The 26,070-nt window shown below is 43.6% G+C and overlaps 1 protein-coding gene across 13 annotated transcripts in view, besides 2 other annotated features; it reads left to right on the top strand.

The window, feature by feature from the left end:
* SUSD4 (sushi domain containing 4) overlaps positions 1-26,070 on the top strand; it is a 144,405-nt gene that overhangs the window by 14,462 nt on the left and 103,873 nt on the right. The window lies entirely within an intron of this gene.
* Positions 8,570-8,747: a silencer, noted in NCBI's record as "fragment chr1:223515369-223515546 (GRCh37/hg19 assembly coordinates)". NCBI's record gives its function as "represses an EF-1alpha promoter that drives an FKBP-Casp9 reporter gene in an ReSE screen in HepG2 liver carcinoma cells {active_cell/tissue: HepG2}" and the evidence as "EXISTENCE:reporter gene assay evidence [ECO:0000049][PMID:32094911]".
* Positions 9,238-9,738: an enhancer, noted in NCBI's record as "H3K4me1 hESC enhancer chr1:223514378-223514878 (GRCh37/hg19 assembly coordinates)". NCBI's record gives its function as "activates a minimal SCP1, AML or CMV promoter by ChIP-STARR-seq in primed H9 embryonic stem cells {active_cell/tissue: H9 hESC(primed)}" and the evidence as "EXISTENCE:reporter gene assay evidence [ECO:0000049][PMID:30033119]".

Raw genomic sequence — 26,070 nt, 5'->3', positions numbered from 1 at the left:
ACTTTTCCTCTTGTTTATCTCTCAAACCACAGAATACATACATACGTAATCCCAGTTGAGTACTCATAGCTTGATTAGAAGAGGGCTGAAGGACTCCACAGCCAAGTTCAACAGCTAAGACCTGCTACTGTATGAATAAAGGACATCATTGAGCCAAGGGTTTTATTATTTCTAAATGCTCTGTCCTTTCCTCTTTGCTTCTGACATCTGAGTCAGGCAGCAACGACAGCTGCAGTGATGGGCAGGGAGGACCGTGAGAGGATTGATGTCTGGCCTTGACTTGCGCCTTGCCCCTCTCTTGGGAGTGACAGCACCTGGAGTATTGAGTTTTTCACTGACAGTGATGAGGGTCCAAACATGGCTTTGCAGTCAGTCCTAAGGGTGGGAAAGGGAGGAAGTCTTTCCGGCTTCTTATCTTCATCCACTCTTACATTTGTTCAACAATAATTTATTGAGCGCTTAACTATGTTCAAGGGCTGCCTTAGGTGCTAAGACTAGAAATAAGAACACAGTACAGTCCCGGCCCTCAGGAGCTCGAGCCTATGTGGGATACTGTCTCCGTCAGCTTGGGCTGCCTTAACAAAATACCATGTTGGATGACTTAAACGATGGAAATTAAATTTTGTCATAGTTCTGGAGGCTGGAAGTTCATGATCAAGGTGCCAGCACGGCTGGGTTCTGGTGAAGGCTCTCTTCCTGGGTTGCAGACAGCTGCCTTCTTGCTGTGTTCTCACATGGCCTTTCCTTGGTGTGGGTGCAGGGGTGGGGACGGGAGAGAGCTCTGTGGTCATGTTGGATTAGGGCCCCACCTTATGACTTCATTTAACTTTAATTACCTCTTAAAGGCCCTATCTCCAAATAGAGTCATATTGGGGGTTAAGGCTTCAATGTATGAATTTAGAGGGATACAATTCAGCTCTTAGCAGATACGAAAGGAAGACAAATGTTAATTCTTATGAAAAGGTGCTGTAAGGAATCCAGAGCTCTTATCCCAGCTAGGGGAAATATGGGAAGGCTTCCAGGAGGAGATGATGCCGGAGCTCAGTTCTGAAGGAAGTGGCAATTAGGTGAAGAAGGGGGAAAGAACATGAGCAAAGGTGTAGTCATATGAAACTGCCAGTGTTTGTATATGGTGAGGGTGATAGGGGCTACAAACCATTAGCTTACCTATTCATGCATTTCATTAAGTCATTCATCAAACATTTCCTAAGTCTGCTATTCATGCAGGCACTGATGATGGAGTCCAGAGATGATCTGGAAGCTCAAATTTGCAGAATTTCCCAAATTACAGGGCCATAACATTTGCTCTAATCTAATCAAACTACTGCTAGACACTCACATTATTCGATTACAGCTGCTGGCCACTAAAAATCAATTGCAAGTGGTGCCCCAGGCCATCCGCTGAGCCCACCCTGGTTTAGGTCAGGTAAATATTGAATTATTATGGGGAGGTAGCCTGCGGAGAAGTGATGAGTTAATATCCATAGTAACTGGAGGCCATCACATATATATATATTTTTAAGTCATTTTGAATTTATCTTTTAAGGGACATTTTCTTCTCTCCTACTCAAAACATTTTCTTTGTTCTTTTTTCTTTCTCTGATATTTAAAGTTAAAACCTCTGAATGATTCGTGAGTCCAGGTTTGGTGCTGGTGCCATTCTAACAGGCCCATGTTATGAGACTTGATGGCCTTTTTGTTGGAGAAGGAGCCTCATGCCTCCTGGCAGACAGCATAGTGGCCGCATCCATTGTGGTCTCAGTCTCCTTGCTTGCCCCTCTCTGCTTGGCACCTCCCAGAGCTTCTGAGCTTCATGCCCATGGACCAGCTCCTGGAGGTCTCTGAACCGTCCCCCAGCCCCACACCTGAACATGTATGAAGACTTGTATATGCATTTCTCTGAAGTGGGTTTGTAGCTTTCAGCAGAATCTCAGATGGGTTCATTAACCCAGAAAGCTTTTAAAAAAAATCACAAGCTTAGAACAAACTGCTTAGAGTAAGTCTGTACCTAAACTGTTGATACAGGTCACAAAGAGAAGGAAACAGTTCTCAAGAGATTGAGGTTTTGGGCTTACGCACCTTTAGGCTAGGGTTGGTAGTGTACCGGGGAGGCCTAAAGAGAAAAAGTGGGCAGTGCTGGCCAGCAACTCTATTTGGACTGGTAGGCATCAGAGCTGTCCCTTTAATTTAACCCTTCACCCACCAAGGCAATTGAAAACATCCTGCAATTTAGAAAAGTTTCCTGCCACAACTGGCTTGGAAACTTCTTACAAAGTGGCTTCTGTCTACATGGCATAAGAATAAATAGATATAGAACAGGTAGACTGATCAGCAAATATATGTGGAGTCTGTTACATGCAAGGCACTGTGCTAGGCAGGATGGGAGAGTCAGAGATGAATGATAGGTAAGATTCAAAAGCCTGAGTTATTATAGAAAATTATGAGTGGAAAAAAATTCATGTTTATTTTTTCCCGCTGAAAATATGAGCAGAATGAGAAATATTCCAATAAACAGGCAAAAACAGTGCTTTTGTCTCAGTTATCTCTGTAATTCAGCATGTTGTTATGACATATTGAAGCATTATGGACTTGATAACTGTGATTATGCTACTGCTTCTAGTGTTCTAAACGGATGGTTTAGTTGCATATGAACAAAGTTTTTTTTTTTTCCATTTGAATATTAGAAGCGTAATGAATGTTCCTGTTGCTTAGATCTGTAGTCCACTCAGTCTGGGCTTGGGGTTTGTTATGTTAGAGCTGAAGGGGCCATAGAGGTTGCCTTAATTACCGATGAGGAAATGAAGGCCCAGAAAGTAGAGTGAGGTGCTGGTTTCACAACTGGTTAGTGGCAGAGCTGGGACAGGGACCCCAATATGTTCTCTCAGATGGGGCTTCTCTATAACATCATTTGCTTTCCTCCAGACAACTGGGAATCATCACAACAGGATCCACCTCCTGAGGGTTATGTGGATTAAATGAGATAATACGAGGAAAAGTATTTACAGTAGGTATGACTCAGAACACAAGCCTTTATTTACTTATTGTAAAATAGCGCCTTAGATTAATTATTTCATGGATGCATTTGAGCATTAAGTTACCAAGTACTTCGGAAGTACATAGTAATTCTCACTTAAATGCGTGCATGAAATAATTAAGGCACTCTATGTCAGCTTCTATAGGGGATCTACTGATCCCCCAATAGTGGCTTCTACTGTAGGGGCTGGGATTTATTTAGCTGGGAAGTGATTCTGTCATCTACAATCATGACATAAGATGTTGGGCACATAATCAGAGGGTTGTGGCATTCAGGAATGGGAAAGATTGTTCTCACTGTGAAGAGGGGAGAATTTGTGACAGAGATGACATTTAAGTTAGGCCTTGAAAGACGTCTGCACTGGGAAGGGGAGGCGGGGTAGGGTAGGAGGGAAGTGCGGATGGTTAATGGGTACAAACAAAATGTACTATTGGAAAGAATGAATGAGACCTAGTATTTTATAGCACGACAGGGTGACTATTGTCAAAAGTAATTTAATTGTGTATTTCAAAATAACTAAAAAAGTGTAATTGGATTGTTTATAACACAAAGGATAAATGCTTGAAGGGATGGATGCCCAATTTTCCATATTGCTTATTGCTTGCCTGTATCAAAACATTTCATGTACCCCATAAATATATGTACCTGCTATGTACCCACAAAAATTAAAAAGCATTTTTTAAAAAAGAAAAATAACATTCACACAGAAAAAAAAAGTAGGAGCTTAATAGACATTTGTTGAATGAAAAAAAATATTTGTGAAATTTCAACAGGACGAAGTGAACTGCAGGGGGTTTTAGCAGAAAGAACATGAACATGGGCCTTGCTGGGGCAAGCATAAGATAGGTTCATGGCCAGGGAAGGACTGACTTTGGCCTGGACCAAGGGCATGTTTTGGAGACAGACCAGCAATATAGCAAGAAATGTAGTAACAATAGTAATAATATTAATGGGTAGCATTTATCAATTACTTGTTCATACCAGGCACTTTTGAAGTGCTTTACATAAATGAAGTCACTGAGCCTCACAGCAGCTTTATGAATTAGGTACCGTTTTCATTCCTATTTTCATATGAGGAAACTGGGGCAGAGAGAGGCTAAAGGGTAGGTTGAGGGTCCTAGAATTAGAAGTGGTGGGGCTGGGTCCCAAATTCAAGCCATCTGGCCCTGGAGCCTGCTGAGGTATTCATCTCTCCTTGCCTCACTGCTTCCAGGCTGGGGGGCACTCAGCCATGGGAGTTTGGGATGTAACACCGTGGATGGATTTGCCAGCTAACGTCATCTGCTTTTCCTCTTTGACCTTCTTTCTGCAGTACGCCTTGAACCCTAGCCCAAATGTGGTTAAGCCCAGAACCTCAAGAGAAAGGAAATCATAAATAGGAAAATGAATTTCCTAATCTTTGAAAACTATTTTCTTCTTATTGATTCCTCAGGAGGCCATCGACGAGCCACTGAGAGTTTCTGAACGGAGGAGCATGTTTAAGTCATACGTTAGGGTTTTGGTTCTCAAATGGGGTGATTTTGTCCCCCAGGGGACATTTGGCAATGTCTGAAGACAATTTTGGTTTTGGGGTAAGCGGATGGAATAGAGGGTGTGTGCTACGACTGTCTAGAGGGTGGAGACCAGGGATGCTGTGAAACATCTTAAAATGCACAGGACGGCCTCTACAACGGAGAATGATCAGCCTCAAGTGTCCGTAGGGCTGACTCTGAGCAACCCTGCCCTAGGGTGATTGGCCTGGCTGCTGCAGTAGGCAGGGGAGGCTGAAGGGAGACATGGAAGCTAGTAGCCAGGAGGAGGAGCTCCAGGTGAGAGGTGCTGAAGGCCCGGAGGAGGTACTGGCAGCAGAGAAAGCCAGGGTGCACATTTCAAAGGCTGAATTCTGGAGGGCAGAGGGCAGACCAAGGAAGATGTTGCAGCCAGGGGTTTCTAGTGTAGGCATGAGAGAGAAGAAGCATGGAGTCATTAACTGCAATGGAGATGTCAGGAAGAAAAGCTTATTTTAGAAAGATGATGAGTTTGGTCTTAAGATACTTAAATTTTGACATGCAGGTGGAATTGCCCAGCAGGCATTTGAGAATAAGTGATAGAAAGCCGGACGTCGGCGTTATAAATGTGATGTAGGAACCATCTCATGGGCAGCGGTAATTATAATCAGTGTTCAGTAGTGGTCCTGGGAGAGGACTGAGGGACACAGGGACTGTGAGGGATCCCCCTGAGGGATGCAGGAGAGGGAGCGGCAGGGCCTGGATCTGAACCCTGGCTCCATCTCTTAATAAGCGCATGATCAGAGGGAGCGTCAGGGCCTGGATCTGGACCCTGGCTCCATCTCTTAATAAGCACATGATCTTGGACATGTCCTTGAACCTCTCTTTGCCTCAGTTTCCTCACAAGATACCAAGAGAATATTCACAGAGATTGGTGGGGAGCCAAGATACAGCATTACCAAAGCCAGGGATGTGAGGGTTTCAGAGAGGGGGTTAGTGGTGCGGACCTCTGAAGGGGTTGGGGGGATCCATGAGAATGAAAGACCACCTCGTGTTCTCAGCTCATGAGTGACTTTGGGGACAGCATTTTCACTGTATGTTTGTGAGCACCACTTCAATGTAAGTTATCCTCACTGGTGTTACCACAATGTCCAATTATCTATTTTCTTTACAGTGTGTGACAGGAATAGTGTATATGTAGACTTAATAACAAATTACTTATATTAACTTTAGTTTTCCCTTAAGTAAGAGCAATGAGCTGTAGAGAAGGAGAGGGTAGATAAGTTATAAATGAAAGTGAAGAGAGGCCAGAGAGGAAGTTTCGATTATTTCTGCAGAATCTGTTTTTCTTTTAGCTTCCAAATTCCCAGCCTTGAACATAACAAGGAGTGCTAAATGTTCTGAACTCAGGAAAACTGTCCAGATGGGCCCAAGGAAGCAATCTGCCTACCCTCCACGTGTACATATCATGTTAGGGCGGCCTGCTTGGATTTAGGAAGAGCACACTCAGTCCCCAGTGGGAAATGTCCATCCCGATTAAATGAGGGCTGCGGAGTGTGGAAAACATGAGAAGTGGTGGAGAGTTTTTCTGGAGTTGAAGTTTGAGTCTCACTGTGACCAGACTGAACCTACTGAACCCACACTGATAAGGAAAGCGAACATTGTCCTTGGCAGCCCTTCAAGGCTAAGCTTTTCTCGGGGGTGAGCAGTCCTTGAGCAATTCCTTCAGTGCATTAAGTGCAAAGTGGCTCTTCCCTTAGCTACAAATAAGCAGACCACTGTTATTCTCAAGAAAGGAGACCCCAGGAGAGTGCAACATCAGCACAGCCTTACCATGTTCACTGCGCCAGGCAGGTGGAGGTAATTGAACACTCACAAAATTTATTTTTGTGTGAGACACTCATCTGAGAGGCTGGGTGCCATTTCCACTCTATCCCTAGCACCCGACAATGTTGCCTCCCTAGATCTTGCTTATCTTGTACACCATGTATGCCAAACACATCACCCATCTCTTTGAAATATTGTCAGAATGATCTTTGCTGTGCAGTATTAAAACCTGCAAATGCCCTTGCTCCGTTTTCTTAGGTGGTCAGGCTGTCTGTATATATTTATTGAGAAGACAGTTCTGAAGGCTAAGCATAGACAGGTTTCTGAAAAATTATGACTCACATTCCATTTTAACTGTTTTTGGGAATCTAGCTATTTAGTGGAAGTCTCAGGTTTTCCTAAAGTGCTGTGTGCTCATACATTTAGTTTTTATTTCCTGAAAATGGCTAACTTGGGACTTGGAGGTGGCTCAACAGAGGTTGACACGTTGGTTTGGATCTGGGCCATGTTCTCGTACTCTGTTGGTGGTGGAAATAAAGCTGGAAGGGTGGAGAAGGGTCAGGGAGAAGATAAGGAAAGGGAACACACTGTGGTTCCTACAGCAGTTGCACAGGGACTTCACGGGTTTACAGAGGGAAACCATAGCTAGGTTTAAGCTTTTTCCCTTATTAAAAGCAGCTATATATATGCAGATGTATGCATATTCATTGTTGAATTTTTTAGAAAATATGGATGAGCAACGTTAACAAAATAAATGTCACACTAACCCTCTGTTAGAAAAGTGATGTGTGTCTCTTTTCTATATATCTTCATTCTCCCCCCAAATAGTATATAGACATTGTTTTGTTACCTACTTGTATTACTTAACAATATATCATATTTTTATTAATCTTTTAAAAATAAATCTTTTAGAGCATCATTGTAACTCACCGTATTGTATTCTATTTTGTGCATACCCTATAATTTTTTTCACCATCGTGCTGCACATGCACTGGTCAGCAAAAACAGAGGCAGTTTGTCCAGTGGGGGAGATAAACAATCCAATAATCACAAAAATAAGTACAAGCTGTAAAAAGTGCCATGAAGGAAAGCAACTTAGCTTTGAAAGAGCTTATGAGGGAGAAGAAGGAGAATCTCACTTGGTCCAGCTGGGCGGGGTGCTCAAGGAAGGCTTCCGGTAAAAGTTAGCTTTGCGTGGAGAGGTGATAGATTTGAACCAGGTGAAGATCAAGGGAGAGTGTGTTCTCAGTGGAGGGAACAGCCAGCACAGAGGTCTTCTGTTGGGAGGTAGCATAGAATGTTCAAGAACCTGAAAGAAGGCCAGTGTGCCTGGAGTGTAGAGAGCCTTCCTCTTTTTATTGGCTATTTGTGTTTATTGTTTTGAATTCTGGGCTTATGTTCTTTGTCTGTTTTTCCGCTAATGTTTTTATCTTTTTCTTATTCATTTGTAAAACTCTTTTCAAATATTTGACCTTTCACATATCAACAATGTTCATTCTTGCAGTTTTTACTGGCCTTTAATTGCATTGATGATAATGCAGTCAACTTTTTTTCTCTATGGTTTCTGCCATAGAGAAACCGGTATTGGTATTAGGCTTAGAAAGTTTTTGCCAACCCAAGGTTATTTACATAGTCACCTGTATTTTTCATATTTTATTTGTTATACTTAAACATTTAGTCAATTTGCGTGCTGGGAAATGTAAGGATATTGTTAATTTTTATCCAGATGGTTAGCCAATTGTACCAACAGTATTTATTGAATAGTCTATCCTTTTCCCAATGTTTTGAAATAACACCCTCATAATATACTAACATTGTATAGATATTTGGGTCTGTTTCTTGGCCTTCTGTTATATTCCATTGATTTGATGTCTCTTCCTGTGCCAGAACCACACTATTTTACTACTTGTACCTTTTAAAATCAGATAGAGCAAATCCCCACTCATTACTCTTCATTTTCAAAATGTTCTCAGCTAGTCCTATGAAATCACTCTTCCAGATAAATTGTGGAATCATTTTGTTAATTTTGTAGATTAATTTGGGGAGAAGGGACATCTATTCAATAATAGTATTCTCAGAAAAATGGCAACCCTCTCCATTATTTTAAATCTCCTTTTGGGTTCCTGGGTAGAAAGAACATTTTTAAAGACAACATCAGCCCTGAGGACATTGCAGTTTCATCTACAAAATATCACTGACCTAGAGAACATGACTTCAGTGAACACTAGAGAAACAGTAGGACACTGAGGGCCCTTTGAGGATCTCTGTCTTGGGTACCCAGGCCCCCGCCTGTCCTCCTAGCCCTGGTTTCACTGTGGCTGTGGTCCACCAGGGCAGACCTCAGCCATGACTAGGAAGGAAATAGGAAAGGCAAGGGATGTTTATTTTTGGAGACTCGTCTGGGCTGGGCACCCTCCTCAGTGCTTTGCCTGTTGCCTCATTTACACTCGACGTGACCAGCCAATGAGCGATCTTTAGCTCTGTTTCATACCAGACTCTGAGGCCCCGAGAAGTTACTTAACTTGGCGCAGATGGGGGTGGTGATAGGCAAGCAGGAGGCATGGTGGTCTCTGTTGGCAGATGGGTGAAATGGGTTTGTACCCAGGCCTCTCCAAGCACAAAGTCCGCCTCTTTCCATTCTCTTCTTCAGGCTGGGAGACACACCCACCCTCACCACTGGTCACTAACTGGGAAGGGGGAGTTGGGAGCACCCCTGTGGTTGTAGCTGCGTGTGCAGTTGTTTTGGTGCCTGAGGCATGGGGGAGCCATGCTGATTGTCCCTCCGTTTGTGTATTTAAAACAAGACCTGAACCTGAGAACACTTGGGTGCCCCGTCAGTGGATCTGGAGACCGCTGGCATTTCTGCATCGGGTGTTCTGCGTGGGGGAGCTTGATGGGAGCCGGCCCCTTCTGCTTCCCACTCAGCCTTCACAGCTGGAAGGTGGATCTGGGGAGGACAGAGAGGGGGTGGGTGGGAGGTGGGACCCTCTCCAGGCTCTGCTGGCGGCAGCTGCCCTGCCTCGTGTGGAGCCTGGGCTAGAGAGATGCAGCCGTGGCTTTGCTATTTTTAAGCTGTCCGCTATGCTCTGGTGGAGGCTGCCCGCGTCAGATGCTGAATCATGATCCAGCTTGCTAATTGCAGCAGTGCCTGTGGACTGCCAAGTACCCAGACAGGCATCTGGCTCTGCCTTTCGGGTTCCCATGTTATAGTGGGGGACAGATGGGCACCCCATGACAGGAGTACCAGGCAGGCCCAGCACCATCACAGTTCTTGTTACCTTTGGGCTTCATAAAAAATTTACAACAGCAGCAACAAAAAGAAAAATAAAAACACCTCCCCAAAGAACACCAGATTATTACAGTATCTGTTTCGAGAGGAGGAAGAAAGCTTTAGGACTTTCCATATCAAACATGTGTATTTTAGCAATCAAGGTGCTTTTATTCTCTCTTAGAACAATCGGCACCTAACATGCAAACCACATTAAACGAATATGTGTAACACAGAGGGAATTAGGTGGATGAGGTCAAGTGTGTCTTTTTCTAGAGGTCAGTTTCAGCTAAGTGCTTACTATATTTCTGAAACAATAGAGATTTAAGAGATGTTCCTCCGGGGAGTTCAGCAGCCTTTGACATACTCTCTATCAGTGAGGGCCTGTTTGCATGTGTTCTGTCTCTCTGACTACCTGTCTAACTAGATCACAGGGCTGAGAAGGGACACATTTCCCCTCCTGTGGGAAAGAGCTCACCTGACCTCTACCTGGATCTTTTGCCTGGAGCCTCTAAACCCAGCTCCCCAGCTGTCAAAGCAGGCTGAATATCATGACTGCGGACAGAAGCTGCTTTTGGATTAGCAGGGATGGAAAGGACTGCGTGTTGACAGCTCCTTCCTTACCTTTGATTGTGGCACACTACTCTCAAAGCCTTCCCTTCTCCAGGACACTTTTCCTGTCTCTTCTCTAACACAAAGGTGACTCATTTTTCATTGCAGCTGCAGCATGGAGTGCTGGCCCAGCTCTGCACCCCAAGCAGAGGTCTCACTGGGTCAGGGCATCTTTTTGTATCTATCAGATGCCCATCTGTGCCCTCTGCCCCCTCAGAAGAATGGACAGGCCAGTGCCTGGATTCTTGTCTGTTCCAGGAGATGGGACCAATTTCACAAGAGCTGAGCTGTCTGAACAAAGAAGTGATGGGCACACATGAGCCTCCCTAGTTCTCAGACAATGGGGTGTTTAACTTCTGGGTGTTATTCTGCTTTTTTCAGGGTGCTGGGCCTAGACTGAAGCCCATGGCACCAGCCACAATGCTCCTGCAGGATTTGGCTGCGTGTGGTCTTTGTCAGGGAATGCGATTGGAGCAGCTGCTTCCAGGGCTTGATTCCCCACAATTCTTCCTGGCCTGTTGTGTAAAGGAGACGGCTTTAAGGAGATAAGGAGATAAGGAGTTGAGTGTCGTGGTTCTGCCAGAGCGGAGCCGGTGGAATGAGAGCCCCCTTTTCTTCAACTTGGCAAATTAGTGTCTGCCTTTCAGACTGTTGGAAACAGCTCAGTGTGTGTAAGCGGAAAAGTGGTCGGTGGGCCTCAGGCCCAGCCAGTCCTGGGGGAGCCGGGGCCCAGCCTTCTGCTTCCTGAGGGGCCTCAGGTGTATACACATGAAGCTTGTTGAGTTAGTGGTGTCTGAATGCCTCAGAAATCTCTAGGGAACTTCTGCAAAGACGATTCCTCGGCCTTGCCCCCATAGACGCTGAGAAGGTAGATCTGGGAGGATCACAGAAATCATACCATTAAAAGGTGTCGTGAGATTCTGATGGGTGGCTCTCTAGGTTTGCTAACCCTGCTGCAGTGACTCCCTCAGTCTCACACCAGATCTGACAGGGACCTGGCGGGGGCAGGGATTAGACTTTGGGAGCATGGCAGGTGAGAAGGGAGATGGCGGGTTGGAGGGATGGGTCCCTCTGTCCTGTCCCACCCCTGCCCCGCTGGCTCATTCTCTGCAGGCAAATGTATACAACCTCTCCCCTCTCAAATGAACCTTCCCTTGATCTTGGCCCTGCCCTGACATTTTCCTCCCTCCACAGCTGAGCTCCTAGAGATAATAGTCCACATTTAGTCTCTTTCCTCATCTCCGACTCACTGTTCAACCCACAGCAATATGGTTCCACCCCCATCGTTCCTCTGAAATTATCCTGGTAAATGTCACCTTCAGAGACACGCAAACACCAAACTCATGTGCACAATGGGTCTTGCAGTTCTCCTCTTTCTCAGCCTCTTTGTAGCACTTGGCTACTTCATTTTCTTGAAACGGTCTCCTCCTGTGACTGCCAGGATATTACTCCCTTCTGCTTTTTCTTCCTCTAACCAGTCCTTGCTGGTCTCCTTTGCTTTTCCTCCTACACTCTCCCTGGAGTTCTGTCTTGGCCTCTTCCCATCTCTCACCACACAGTCTTCCCACGTGACCTCATCTCCCCTTGTGAGTTGAATTACCACCTGGAACTGGATGTATTTCTCCTGCTCAGATTTTTTCCTGGTTCTGATGAGGACATAGATGCAAGTGCTTACTGGACATCTCTGAGTTGTTCTCCACATATCTCAGCTTGTCTAAAACAGTTATATTCTTCCCTCAGATTGCCTCTCCCTCCATGTTCCCCATCTCAGTGAATGGCATTAAGATCTGCCTCATCCTACAAATCAGAGGCCTGGAGCCACCCTGCAGCTGCATGCGCAGCCTGTCCCAGCAGTTTCCTCGCATAAGTGCATCACCCCTTCTCCCCATGCTCTTATCCAGCCTCTCTTCCAGCTACTCCTGGACTGCTGGAAAAGCTTCCTGGTGGGTTATCTGCCTCTGGCATTGCCCCCTTCCAGCTCATCCTCCTTGTGGTGAACAGAGTTGTTCCAAAACACATATTTGATTGCATCCTTTTACTGCTGAGTGCCCCTTGCTGCAGGGGGAGATAGAAACTCCAAAGCATAGCACACAAAGCCCTCTGTGACACGCACCCTGCCTCTCTCCTGCCTCAGTCTTGGCCGCTTCCCCCATTTTGTTTCTTTCATTTTTTCAGTTGTACTAAATGGCTGAAGGTTCCCTGGGTACTTGTGCAGCCCTGGGGGATCTGATGACAAAGCAGAGGACCCAGAAATTCGGCTGAGAACAGCGGCTCCCGGCCTCACTCCTCGGGGTCCCTTGTATTATTTTCAGTCCACTGACCTTCCATTTTAAAAAAGCCTGACTGCCTTTATGAAGCGATGGTTAATTTGTGTCTCTATTTTTGGTGAAACATGTACGTTTACATAAATATCACTGTGTTCAACATGGGGGAAGTTTTTTCACTGCACTGTGTTTCCAATCCAGTCAAAGAAACCTGAATTTTTGCATTAGCCTGGCAGATCTGTCCTGGATAAATGTACTATTTCCATTCACCTTTTTAAAGAAATAAAAAATAGCTCAATTATTCCCTAGGAGTCCAGAAACCTTGAGTAGAACAGATTGAGTCTTGCTTGAGAAAGAGGCTCTGCCCAGAGGGCTGGGTGGCCTCCAGTTGTCAGACCCTGAGGGTTCCTCATGTCTTTCTTAAGGGGTTTGGTGTGCTTTGGCCTCATTTTCTCCCTCTAAGCCTCCCTTGTTTTTGCCTCTGTTTATACTAAAAACAGCAGCCCTTCCTCTTGAGAACAAAAGCCACCCTGAGGGATGGCTCTGTAAACTGACCATGTAGTCGGTGACTATGCAGTGGGCACAGGTGAGGGAGGGGACAATGTGTCCTGACGATTTGGTACACAGCTCACAGAAGCAGGCACTGGAGTCTGGGCTTCCAGGCTGCGGTGTCCTAATTGCCACCTTTTGAACAGATGGCTTACTCCCCTGGTGTTAGGTTGCAGTAGAGCTTCTGCTATTAACACCCAATTGCAGCAAGAACTTCCATTACCTCCCCACCCGTATTTACAGGAGTTCATTACTTAGATATATTTCTCCCTCACACCTCAAGCTAAATTTAGACATCTGAGGTTTCATCCACTCAACACAGTCTGTGGGTAGGCTCTATAAAGTGCCGTTCATTCATTCATTCATTCATTCATGCATTGTACTAACATTTGAGCTCTGTAAGGTGACATTCATTCCTTCATACATTCAACTGACGTTTGAGCAATGGAAGACATCATTCATTCCTTAACACATTCTACTGACATTTGAGCTCTGCAAGGTGGCATTCATTTCTTCATGCATTCTACTAACATTTGAACTCTGTAAGGTGGCATTCATTAATTTATTCAACTAATACTTGAGCTCTACAAAATGTCATTCATTTATGCATTCTGCTGATTTTGAGAACTGAACAAATTACGGTGCCTGTGAGAGATACAGCTCATACCGTTATCCAGTGTACAGTAGGAGAAAACAAGTTAACGACAAAGTATGAAGAGTACTTATGAAGTACTTCCTGTGGGAAAGCTGGTGGTGGTGTCCTTTTCCACCATCTTAGTGGCCAGCTCTCACCAGGTTCCATGGGCTTCAAGGGAGAGTTTCTGGGCTGTTCAAGGTGGGCTGGAGTCATGAGTATGGCATAATCATCACATTTCACCAGATACTCTTTGAACACCTCTAATGTGCCAGATGCTGTGATAGGACTCGCTGAGATAGAATTAGCATTTGATTTGGAGCCAGAAGAGCTGGGTTCCAAGCACACTTGGAACATCAGCTTTGTGAATTTTGTCAAGTCCCTTAAAAAAAAAAGGATTAAAGCTCTCTGTTACAGTCACCCAGATACTACTGCATAAATGAAGCCAGTTCATACAAGTCCATAGAGGAATTTACCAAAATTCTTACCTGTTAAATAAGACACAGGCATGAATTCTACTAAGCACAGAAACCATGACCTCTGGACAAAGATTTCAGAAGAGAAAGAGCAGTCTCTGTGCTGTGCTTCCAGTCCTGAGTGCTATTCACGCCTCAGAGGCAGCCACTTCCAATACTTCTGACTGGTCATGCGGCTACCTTCATGTTTCTTGATAATTGCTTATACTGATATTTTTTGATTTATAAAATTTAGATACTAAAAATTGTAGCTATTACCTATTGATTTCTTAATATGGGGAATGACGACAGTTTCCTTCCCCATTTCCCATTCTTCTTTCTCTCAAGGTAGTTGTCTCCCAATTGTTGTTTAAAATGATAGTCATTATTGGCCGGGCACAGTGGCTCACGCTTGTAATCCCAGCACTTTGGGAGGCCAAGGCGGGCAGATCATCTGAGGTCAGGAGTTCGAGACCAGCCTGACCAACATGGAGAAACCCCGTATCTACTAAAAAACACAAAATTAGCTGGGCGTGGTGGCGCATGCCTGTCATTATTTACATCTTGGCTTTGTACATACTTATTACTCCTGGGCCAAAAAGTCTACTATAATGACGTTTTCTTTTTTTTTTTTAAACAACTTTTTGTTCTGTCAGGAGTCAACAATCACTTTGTTGTTGCTTTGCAATATTTTCTTTCTACAGTATAATGAATTCTTCCCGAAATCGACCAAAGAATTAAAAATTTTTCTTAACACCATTTCCTATTTGTCAAGTGCAACAAGTAATCTAGCAAATCTCCTTTTTCCCTGTAGACATTCTTCTCAGAGCCCTCTGATCACCGTCTCAGTTGGGACTGACTCTTCGCTAGGTTTGCTGCCTGGTTATCTTGATGCTTGACTGCTTCGTGTTAGATTCTCTGTTTTCTGAATCTGTGTTTTCTCATTTCTTAGATTATGCCCTAAATCAATGGAGCACATCTTTTACTAGCTTTCTTGTGTCTCTGAGGGTATTAATGACTGCTTGTTCTTTCTGTATTGTTTTATATTTCTTCATGGTTTGCCTTTCAAATTGGGGGCTTCCTTGACCATTATTGTTAAGACTGAGACAAGAAGAGAAGCCCTGTGTTCATGGATGGGTCTTGTCTATTCCTGGGCATTACTGAAAATTGACTGAAAAGAGATATGGGGTAAATATTTTAAGATTTGGCTGTTCGAAATGCCTTTTGTTCACACTGAACTGATAACTTGGCAAAGCATAGCATTTTAGGTTAAAAATCATTTCCGTCAGAACACTTCTACACTGCTGGTGGGAATGTAAACTAGTACAACCACTAAGAAAAACAGTGTGGAGATTCCTTAAAGAACTAAAAGTAGAACTACTGTTTGATCCAGCAATCCCACTACTGGGTATCTACCCAGAGGAAAAGAAGTCATTATATGAAAAAAAATACTTGCATACACATGTTTATAGCAGCACATTCACAATTGCAAAAATGTGGAACCAACCCAAATGCCCATCAGTCAACAAGTGGGTAAATAAACTGTGGTATATATATATATGATTGAGTACTAGTCAGCCATAAAAAGGAATGGATTAATGGCATTTGCAGCAACCTGGATGGGATTGAGACTATAATTCTAAGTGAAGTAACTCAGGAATGGAAAACCAAATATTGTATGTTCTCACTCATAAGTGGGAGCTAAGCTATGAGGATGCAAAGGCATTAGAATGACACAAGAGACTTTGGGGACCCAGGGGGAAAGGGTAGGACTTTGGGGACTCGGGGAAAGGGTAGGAAGGGGGTGAGGGATAAAAGACTACAAGTGGGGTTCAGTGTATACTGCTTGGGTGATGGGTGCACCAAAATCTCACAAATCACCACTAAAGAACTTACTCATGTAACCAAATACCACCTGTTCTCCAAAAACCTACGGAAATAAAAAATTTTAAAAAATTTCCCTCATAATTTTGAAGGCATTACTCTGTAGTCTTCCAGCTTCTAGTTTTGCTAATAAGAAGTATGATGTCACCCTGATTCTAGTCTTTCATATGTGACCCAGCCTCTCCCCAGATTTTCTCTTTATCTTTGGTTCTCTGAAATTCCCCAATAAGGTAGATGGTATGGGGTCTCTTCATTTATTATAGCCTTGTCAGTTTGGAGACTCATGCCTTTGATTTCTGGGAATTTAAAAAATATTCTTCGATGATTTCCTTCTCTTCATTTTTCTCTTTTCTTTCTGGATTTTCTATAAGTAGGATGCTGGCACTCCTTTCCTGATCCTTAAATGTTCTTATCTTTTCTCTCCAGTTTTCTTTCTCTGTGCTTTTTTGCTGTCTTTTCTGAGGGATTTCCATAACTTTTTTTCCAGGTTTTTTTGTTGAAGCTTTTCAGCTACCATATTTTAATGATAAGGAACTCTTCCTCTGTTTCCTTTTAAAACAGCATTCTGTTCTTGTTTCGTAGATGCATTATATTCTCTTGTATCTCTGAGGATATTAATTATAGTATTTTCTTTCTATATTGTTTTGTATTTCCTCATAGGTTGCCTTTCAAATTGGGGGCTTCCTTGACCATTGCAGTTAAGACTGAGACAAGCAGAGAAGCTCTGTGTTCATGGGTGGGTCTTATCTATTCCTGGGCAATCCTGAAAATTGACTGGGCTGAGATTCAGCCATTTTACTGAGGATAGGAGGTAGGGGAATGTGGGAGGTGGTTCCCTAATGTCCACATCTATAGGGCTTTTCTCTAAGGCTTTTCGTTTTCTCCGAGTCTGGGGCTTCCACAGAGTGAACCTGTCCTCTCATGCTGTGGTGGGGAAGGAGGTGGTCATCTGGAAGCCCCAGCCAGGAGAGAGGACCTGGGGTGGAATGACCTCTTTATGCATTTCAGCCAGTCCCTCTGCTTTCAGCCCTGCACCCCTCCCCACCTCTGCAGAACCTGGTGCTTCCAATTCCCCAGCGTTTCTGGGACTCCATGGCTCTGCAAGGGTGCCCCCTACTTAACCTTTCTCTGTTCTGCTCACTCCTTTATCTACTTCCCATTTTCTAAAGAAGCAGAGACGTCTTTTGCATTGTCACTTCTCCTACTTTTTGTGTTGTTGGGGGTATATGCCATTTAATTATTTCTTCTTATATCAGTGGAGCTTTGAAGAGAAAAATGATCACATGTTCAATCTACCATGTTCAACAGGAAGCACTAATTTTAATTTGTTTCAGAAAAAATTTTTGATTGAGTAATAGGACTAGGCACTCTTCTTGGTGGTTTGTGTATAATCTCACAGAATCCTCACTGTTGCTCTCAGGAGGTGCTGATAGCCCCAGTTTACAGGTGTGGAAACGTAGGCAGAGAGAGGTTAAGTAACTTCCCATGCAGAGTGGTGAGTGGTGGAGTGTGGATTGAAATGCACGTAGATCTAAGCTGCACCCCCTGCTCCTGGCACTGCCTCTCAGTAAGGAGGGTGTGCACCCGTGGGTGTGTGCACCATTTTGCCGTCACCGTAACGGGGGAGGTTACAGTCAGTGCCTGGATTGGCGGGTTTCTTTTAGGAAGAAAGGCCATGCTGGGCTGTGGATGGAGAAGCCTAAGGAAAGAGTTTGGCCAAGAGGTTCTGAGGGTCCTGCACCTGGTGCTGACATGATTTCCCCAGGACAACTGTGTGGGAGAGGAGGGTGTGGTGTGCAGTTGCGGCAGCTTCCACGCAGAGTATCAGGAGCAGGTGGCCATTTCTTCCGTCAGAAAGAACATGGTAGAAGATGGGAAGATGGCCATTGCAAGGCACTCCCAGGATGGTCCCCACCCTCCCCAGTACCCGCTTAGCTGGAGGTAGGCATAAAGGACAGGGGCAGGACAGAGAAGGAGCAAACCTTAGACCTCCGAGCCTCAGCAGGAAGTTTTACCCCTGGTTCCGTTTCCCTGTGACACACGCCCTGAAGGAGAGGCTTGTCCGAGGAGATGCCTGTCTCCCCACGGCTACCCGCAGTCACTGAGAATTGCAGAATTACTTGCTACAGTGTGGTCAGGCCATGTTTCAGTGCCTGAGATGTATTTTTTACGTCTTGAATCCAAATTACAGCATTAAAAATAGCTAACGACTTCTAGTTTAAATGGACAGATCCTAAGAAACTTTATATATCTCTGTGCAATGAACTAGGAAAGCTGGTGTTAGGTAATGCTAGTGCCTGAAAATTGTTACAGATACTAGCAGCAGTAAATATCCAATTTTTGTAAGAGACCTCACCAAAGCAATTTAATCCTTTTGATGCTTGTTGGAAATTCAGGTACCGTGTCTGAATATAGATATGCCATTTATACATACACTATGATGTTTTCTGTAGATATGTGTGTATATGAGCTTGTATAAAACAAGTTGCTTTGAGGTAGCCTAGCCATGCTTCCTACTAGCACCCTCCAAATATTTTATGAACCACATCTTAGGTATTTTATGGCTACACAGAGCATTCCTGACACACCACCCTGAGTGCTGTTTCACTTAGCAATTGGCATTTGCCCAAGAGGACTAGAAATCAGCAACTGGAGAATAGGGGGCTTTGTAACCAGGCTCACACTGTGCCCCATCACTCAGCTTTCTCTGCACGGGTTCAAGGAAGCCCTCCAGAAATGCCACATTGGGATTTCATGAAGCAGAACACAGGTGAGAGGTCAGCATGGTGAGGGGGATGGGAAACTGGGATTTCAAACTGTCCCTTTAGGATTAAAGTTTTGTCTCGCTGTTGTTTGCAATACAACCTGGACATTTCATCATTGGCCTTCAGTGGGTTTGCAGGGTGATTTCTAGGGGAGGCAGAGGAGAACACACGTCTTCCTTAGCATCTCTGAGTTGACACCACCAGGCTGGGGTGCAGCCTTGAGCCTTGCTTTGGGGAGCAGATGGCTTGGTCAGATGGAGTCGGTCTCTCCTGATTAGGAAGAGGACAAAAGGTCCCATGAGTTGAGGCCTCGAAAAATGTGTGAGTTTGTCAGGCAAGTTGCTGTTTGAAAGTCTCAGGCCCTGAGCACCTCCTTTTCTGACTTATGCAGATAGCATCAAAGGCCTCGGAGATCAACCAAGGGCTTTTAAGTAGGCGGAGTGGAAAGACTGTGATTGCCAGGCCGTGCTTGCATTTGCCTTTTGGAGGCCCTTTTAGTTGTGCTCAACCCCAACCACAGGGGGACACAGGTTCAGCTGTGTTTTTGCTGGAAATGACAGAGCTTTGTTGGCACACAAGGTTTCACAGCTGGCTGGGAATGAGAAGAATAAAGAAAAAAGGAAAGGCTTGCAGTTGCAACCTCAGTGGCCCAGGGCAATGTTCTGTGCTAAGGAGCAGGTCTCTCTGTGATGCTGGAATGTGAAAACACCTTGTGAACTCCAAAGCGCCCCCAAATTGAATCTAAGTCAGGATTATTACTCTTCTGATTCTTGGCAGTCATCACCATCCTGAGCAGTTATGATTGCTAATTCCGTCAGCAAAAATAGTAGGAATCTGCTGTTAAAGTATAAACAAACGAGTTTAGTAGGTGACCTTTGAGTGGATGCACTGAAGGGCTTGGGTAGGCCTGCCGTGGAGAAATGCCCTCACCCATGAGACAGCTGGTGCACCTCTGCCAGTGATTATGACAATGGGAGGGGGCGGGGAGGGTGCAGCAAAAGGAGTATGTAAGTACAAGGCATTTTTATTAGGACAGAGGTCCCAAATCACCACTTGACAGCTTTCTGTTCCCTTCTCTCTGCCATCCTTCCATCTTCTAGTTCTGATAGGTGAATACTTCTGTGATGTGGAGGCCCTAGCTGACTACATGGGGCTGTCCCACCATGAGACTCCCTTGTTTTTACATGAAACCCACCAGCTATGGTGAATAGTGCCATGGAACTAAATGCTGCAATCAATTGTGTCTACAATCTGTTTACTTGAATTTGTCTCCACTGTACTTGAACTCTGTGGCTCCTGTTGCCTGGGGTGCTAACTGTACATTAGCTGCATGAGGCCGGAGACATGCAGTTTTATTTCTATTAATGCCAGGAGAGAGAGCAAGTTAAAAGCAGTAACTAAGACAAATGGTGTTGTTATTGGCAGATATTCCTTTTGCCATCGACTAACCTGTTTTGTTTTTCTTTGTGTGGACTTTATTTTCTCGTTTGTTGTTTTCTGAATCTTCTTACTTATGACTTAAAATTTGATGAAAATAGGCAATGAGAGTTTTAGGAAAGAATAAAGATATTCCAGCAGAACTTGGAAGGCATATTAAGCAGGTGAGAGAAGAAAGGCCTGGGGAATTTTCCAAACAGAAAACTTTTATTTCTTAAATATGAGTGAGAACAGTGATATGTGGATTGTGGTTTAGCTGGAAATCTAGCCCTTCAAGTTTTGGACCTTTTATAGCTTTCCCTTGCTACAGTATGCCAGTGTGCTTTTAATTTAGTGGTGGCAGTAGAGAAATTGCAAAACCTCCCCAGCTGAGAACGTGCTTAGGAATCAAATGAGTGTGATAATGAGAATGAATGCGAGTTGCTTTCCCAAAGAAATACAAAAGGAGAGGAGGTTGTAGTAGCATGCATGAAGAGAATGTCCCTTCTTCCCTCCTTCCATCTATACACTTATTATCCATCCATCTATACTGCCATTCATCCACCTGTCCATCCACACATTTGTCTGTCCAGTCATCCGTCCATCTTTCCGTTTGTTCATCTATTCATCCATTTATCCATCCATTCATTCATCTGTCCATCTGTTCATCCATCCATTCATCTATACTGCCATTCAGCCATCCATCCATCCATCTGTCCATCTGTTCTTCCATTCATCCAATCATCCATCCATCCATCCATCCATTCATTTATCTATTCATCTCTCTATCTGTTCATCCATCCATCCTTCTGTTCATCTGTCCATTCACTATGTCATTTTCACTGAACTCCAGTGCTATCGTTCATCCATCCATCTGTCCATATGTTCATCCATCCATTGTTCTGTCCATCTGTCCATTCATTAAGTTATCTTTCACTGAGCTCCATGCCTGTGAAAGGCCCAGAAGTAAGAACTTTAGGGATGCAGAGCCAAATCAGGAGTGTGTGCCTTTCAGGAGCTTAGAGGCAGAGATGAACACAGAACACAAATGACTATAAAATAGAGAAAGCAAAAAGGAATGTGTAGGTGGAATGCTGGGAAAAGCTAGAGGAGGGAAAGTTAGAACTTTGGGAAAAGGGACATTGGGCTTGCACTTAGAGAGTGCACATATGGGGAAAGGCAGGGCAATTTCAGGCAAAAGTGTTTTTGGAATGAGATGATAAATTATTAAGTCAGAGCAGACAACTCACAGCTATATCCTTGTTCATTATTGATCAAGAATAGGACAACTTGAGTAGAAATGAAGGCCATTGATAATCCCAAATTTTATCTACATGTGAGTTTCAGCCTTCTCCATGATGATAAATACAATACTGGACTTCAAAGCCCCCCATTCTCCCTCTTGTTTATGCCCGTTGATAAAGCTGTGAATTAAAGTGAGAATTACCCACAGAGAGGTCAGGGAGCTGGAGAGGAAGGGGAGATGCTGGTGGAGGGAGGCAGTAGGATGTCTGAGTCTTAGGACGGGGTCATCAACTTTGCACAACTGAAAGTTGTTGGGCAGGACTGAACACAGTGACTAATTTTTGCTTTCTTGGCCCTAAGCTGTCCAGTGACAGAGAGATTTGGAAGTCTTGTGGATGGAGAATGGTGCTAATAGTCATAAAACTCCAGGCCAAAATTAAAGTTTGTGGAGTCATGGTAGGGACAATACAGCCAGGACTTGCCTCCACTAGGGAGCCAAATTTAACCCTGAGTGGCAGAAACCCTGATGGATTCTGAGGTGCCAGCTGGTCTACCAGCCAAGGAAGCAGAGCCTGCCCCTGAGGTGTAGCTGCTGACACATGGGTCTGGTAGTATTGGCTGAATCAGGTCGACACAAGCCAGGAAGCTTTGCAGACACTCCTAAAATCAGAACTTGGGGAAATAATGAGAGGCTTGGGAGGCGCTTGATGAGCGGCAGAGGCAACAGCGAGCATTGTCTTTCTTCACCTGGATGGTAATACTGTGTCCTTGAATGGTGTGGGCAGTCAGGTGGAAAAATAAACACAGAGGTACCTTTTGACAGGGAGAAGTCACTGAAAAGTCTCACCAGAAGAATTGAGAACTTCTCAAGAACAGAATAGGTGTATTCTATCTTCAGAGCAATTCAGGCAACCCTGCCCAGAGAATTGGATGGCCAGAGAGGAGGAAGGGGACTGGTGGGGCTTAGTCCTGGCTCTGCCACCTACTGTGAGACCTTAAGCAAGCCAGTTAACATCTCAGAGCCCCGGCTTCCTTATCTTTAAAATAGAGGCTGTAAGGACCGAATAGGAAGGATTAAGTGAGATGCTGTACTGGAGAGCCCTTTATAAAACATGAGTCCAACAAATGTAAGATGTTGTTACTAATAGTCATGCTTGGACATGTTGACATTGTGATTATTATGTCTAATAACAGAGTTGAAAGATGCCAATATTCTTTTAAAAACTTTTTTTTTTTTTTAGAGAACACTAATTAGGAATGACAGATGACATTACCCCTGTAGTGCTCTTTCTCCACTCTTGAGTATGGAAGAAAAGGTTGCCTTTGTGGATAAAGAGATTGGAGACCGGTGTTGGGATCTCTCTTCTCCCTACTGTACTCTTTCCTGGGGATCAGAGCCAAGCAAGACATCACCCTTCAGGAAGATATATTTTCTACACATTGCTGCTTTCCAAATGATTAGAGGGTTTGACCAAGGAGATTTTGTACTTAAATGCAACCTCTTAACGAATTTCTGAGGCGGGTGACAACTGCCTGTGATAGGGTTAGGCAGATGGCACCTGGCCCAAGGTGCCAGGTGAGGAGATGCTTTGCTCATTATGCCTGGGCCATGCCGGGGCCCTGACCTGGAATTGTGTCTGCCTTTTTCTAAATGCTTGAAGGCTCCCTATGGGCCAGAAGTGGCCTTGTGCCCCTTGCTGGGTTATCGGAACTGTGGAGTTTGTAGAATCTAGGGCCTTTCTCCAGGAGCTCCTTTAGCCTTGTGGCCCCAAGCATGGCAGGGTCACACAGTCAGGTTTGAATCATGTAATAGGAAGGTCATTTTCTTTGTTTTTAAAACATTTTTATTTCAGTAGCTTTTGTGTTACAAGTGGATCTTTTGTTACATGGATGAGTTTTATAGTGGTGAATTCTGATATTTTAGTGTACCCATCAGCTGAGTCATGTACATTGTACCTAATATGTAGTTTTTTATCCCTATTCCCTACTCCCAGTCTCCTCCCACTTCTGAGTCTCCAAAGTCCATTATATCAATGTATGCCTTTGAGTACTCATAGCTTAGTTCCTACTTATAAGTGAGAACATACTGTTTTTGGTCTTTCACTGCTGTCTTACTTCAGTTAGAATAATGGCCTCCAGCTCCATCCAAGTTGCTGCAAAGACATTATTTTGTTCCTTTACATGGCAGAGTAGTATTCCATGGTGTATATATGCAATATTTTCTTTAATCAGTGGACACTTGGGTTGGTTCCATATTTTTGCAATTGTGAATTGTGCTGCTATAAACATACATGTACAAGTGTCTTTTTCATATAATGACTCATCTTCCTTTGGGTAGATGCCCAGTAGTGGGATTGCCGGATTGAATGGTAGATCTACTTTTAGCTCTTTAAGGAATCTCCATACTGTTTTCCATAGAGGTTATACTAGTTTACATTTTCACTAGCAGTATGTCATTCCCTTTTTCCCACATCCATACCAACATCAATTGTTTTTTGACTTTTTAGTAATGGCCATTCTTGCTGGAGTAAGGTGGTATCTCATTGTGATTTTAATTTGCATTTCCCTGATGATTGGTGATGTTTAGCATTTTTTCATGTTTGTTGGCCATTTGTATATCTTCTTTTGAGAAATATCTATTCATTTCCTTTGCCCACTTTTTAATAGGATTGTTTGTTTTTTTCTTGCGGATTTGTTTGAGTTTCTTGTAGATTCTGGCTACTAGTCCTTTGTCAGATGCGTAGTTTGCAAATATTTTCTTTCATTCTGTGGATTGTCTGTTTACTCTGGTTATTATTTCTTTTGCTGTACAGAAGCTCTTTAGTTTAATTAAGTCCCATTTATTTATTTTTGTTTTTGTTGCATTTGCTTTTGGGGTCTTAGTCATGAATTCTTTGCCTAGGCTGATGTTTAGAAAAGTTTTTCCAATGTTGTTTTCTAGAATTTTTATGGTTTCAGGTCTTTAAATCTTTCATCCATCTTGAGTTGGTTTTTGTATAAGGTAAGAGGTAAGTATCCAGTTTCATTTTTCCACATGTGGCTTGCCAGTTTTTCCAGCATCATTTACTAAATATGGTGTCCATTCCCCAGTTTATGTTTTTGTATGCCTTGTTGAAGATCAGTTGGCTGTACGTATTTGGCTTTATTTCTGGTTTCTCTATTCTGTTCCATTGGTCTATGTGCCTATTTTTATACCAGTACCATGCTGTTTTGGTAACTACACCCTTGTAGTATAATTTGAGGTCTGGTAATGTTATGCCTCCAGATTTGTTCTTTATGCTGGGCTCTTTTTTGGTACCATATGAATTTTAGGATTGTTTTTTCTAATTCTGTGAAAAATGATTTTGGTATTTTGATGGGCATTGCATAGAATCTGTAGATTGCTTTGGGCAGTGTAGTCATTTTCACAGTATTGATTCCTCCCATCCATGAGCATGGGATATGTTTCTGTTTGTTTATGCTATCTATGATTTCTTTCAGCAGTGTTTTATAGTTCTCCGTAGGGAGATCTTTCACCTCCTTGGTTAAGTATATTTCTAGGTTTTGTTGTTGTTTGCAGCTGTTGTAAAAAAAATTGAGTTCTTGATTTGATTCTCAGCTTGGTCATTGTTGGTGTATAGCAGTGCTACTGATGTGTGTACATTGATTTTGTAACCTGAGACTTTACTGAATTTGTTTATCAAATCTAGAAGTCTTTTGGAAGAGTCTTCAGGGTTTTCTAGATATATGATAATATCATCTGCAAATGGGGATAGTTTGACTTCCTCTTTTCCAATTTGGATGCCCCCTTTCTTTCTCTTGCCTAATTGCTCTTGCTTGGGAAAGTCATTTTCTCTTGTTCTTTGTGGTGAATGGGTGAAACCATAGGATGAATTAAACCTGGTTTACAGAACATTATGTATGTTGATGAAGCTTGATATGAATTATGAATTTTCTTTCCTTGGAATTTGGTAGAATTACCATAACTTCCAAAATTAATCTCCCCATCACTCTCGATATATTTCTGTTAGAATCATGTCTTTTCTGAATTTCTTCTCATGGCTCATGGGGAAAAAATGATGGTATTATTTGGAAATTTTTATTTTTTAATTTGCTTGGGGTTATTTTTTGTTTGCTTCTTGTTTAAATAAAGACCTCAGCACACTGCAAAGTTTTTCTTTTCTTTGGGGGAAGACAGGAGAGAAGGGATACTGATGCCAAGCTACATAATGAGAACTGGCTTTCGTTCCAGTCCTGGCTGGGTATGACCTAACCAAATCATAAGAATTTCCAAATGCCTTGGTTTCTTCCCCCACTTGGCAAAATGAAGGCAGAAGAGTCATAAGCCCATCTCAACTGCATTGTGGAGTGGGTATCAGAGAGAAACACAAGTAAAGTACCCCTTCCTGGAGTACGGTGCATTGATCTTAGGTAGGAGGTGGGGGAAATGTGAGTACGTGTTTACAAATAAAGACCCTGCTAGTGAGAACAGCAGATGCAGTTAGAGTTAGGCTCTGCCTGCTGCTTGTACCCATCAGTGTCCATTGCCTCCTCTTTCCTCATTCATGAAGGGACCTGATTCAGCCTTTACCCTCCCAAGTGCTGTTGTGGGTGGTATCTCGTCCATCTAAAGGAAGTCTGCAGGCCCCTC

The sequence above is a fragment of the Homo sapiens genome, chromosome 1, assembly GCF_000001405.40.
Source record: "Homo sapiens chromosome 1, GRCh38.p14 Primary Assembly".
Taxonomy (NCBI): domain Eukaryota; kingdom Metazoa; phylum Chordata; class Mammalia; order Primates; family Hominidae; genus Homo; species Homo sapiens.
The sequence above is the reverse complement of the archived record's forward strand: the minus strand, read 5'-3'. Positions and strand labels throughout refer to the sequence as shown.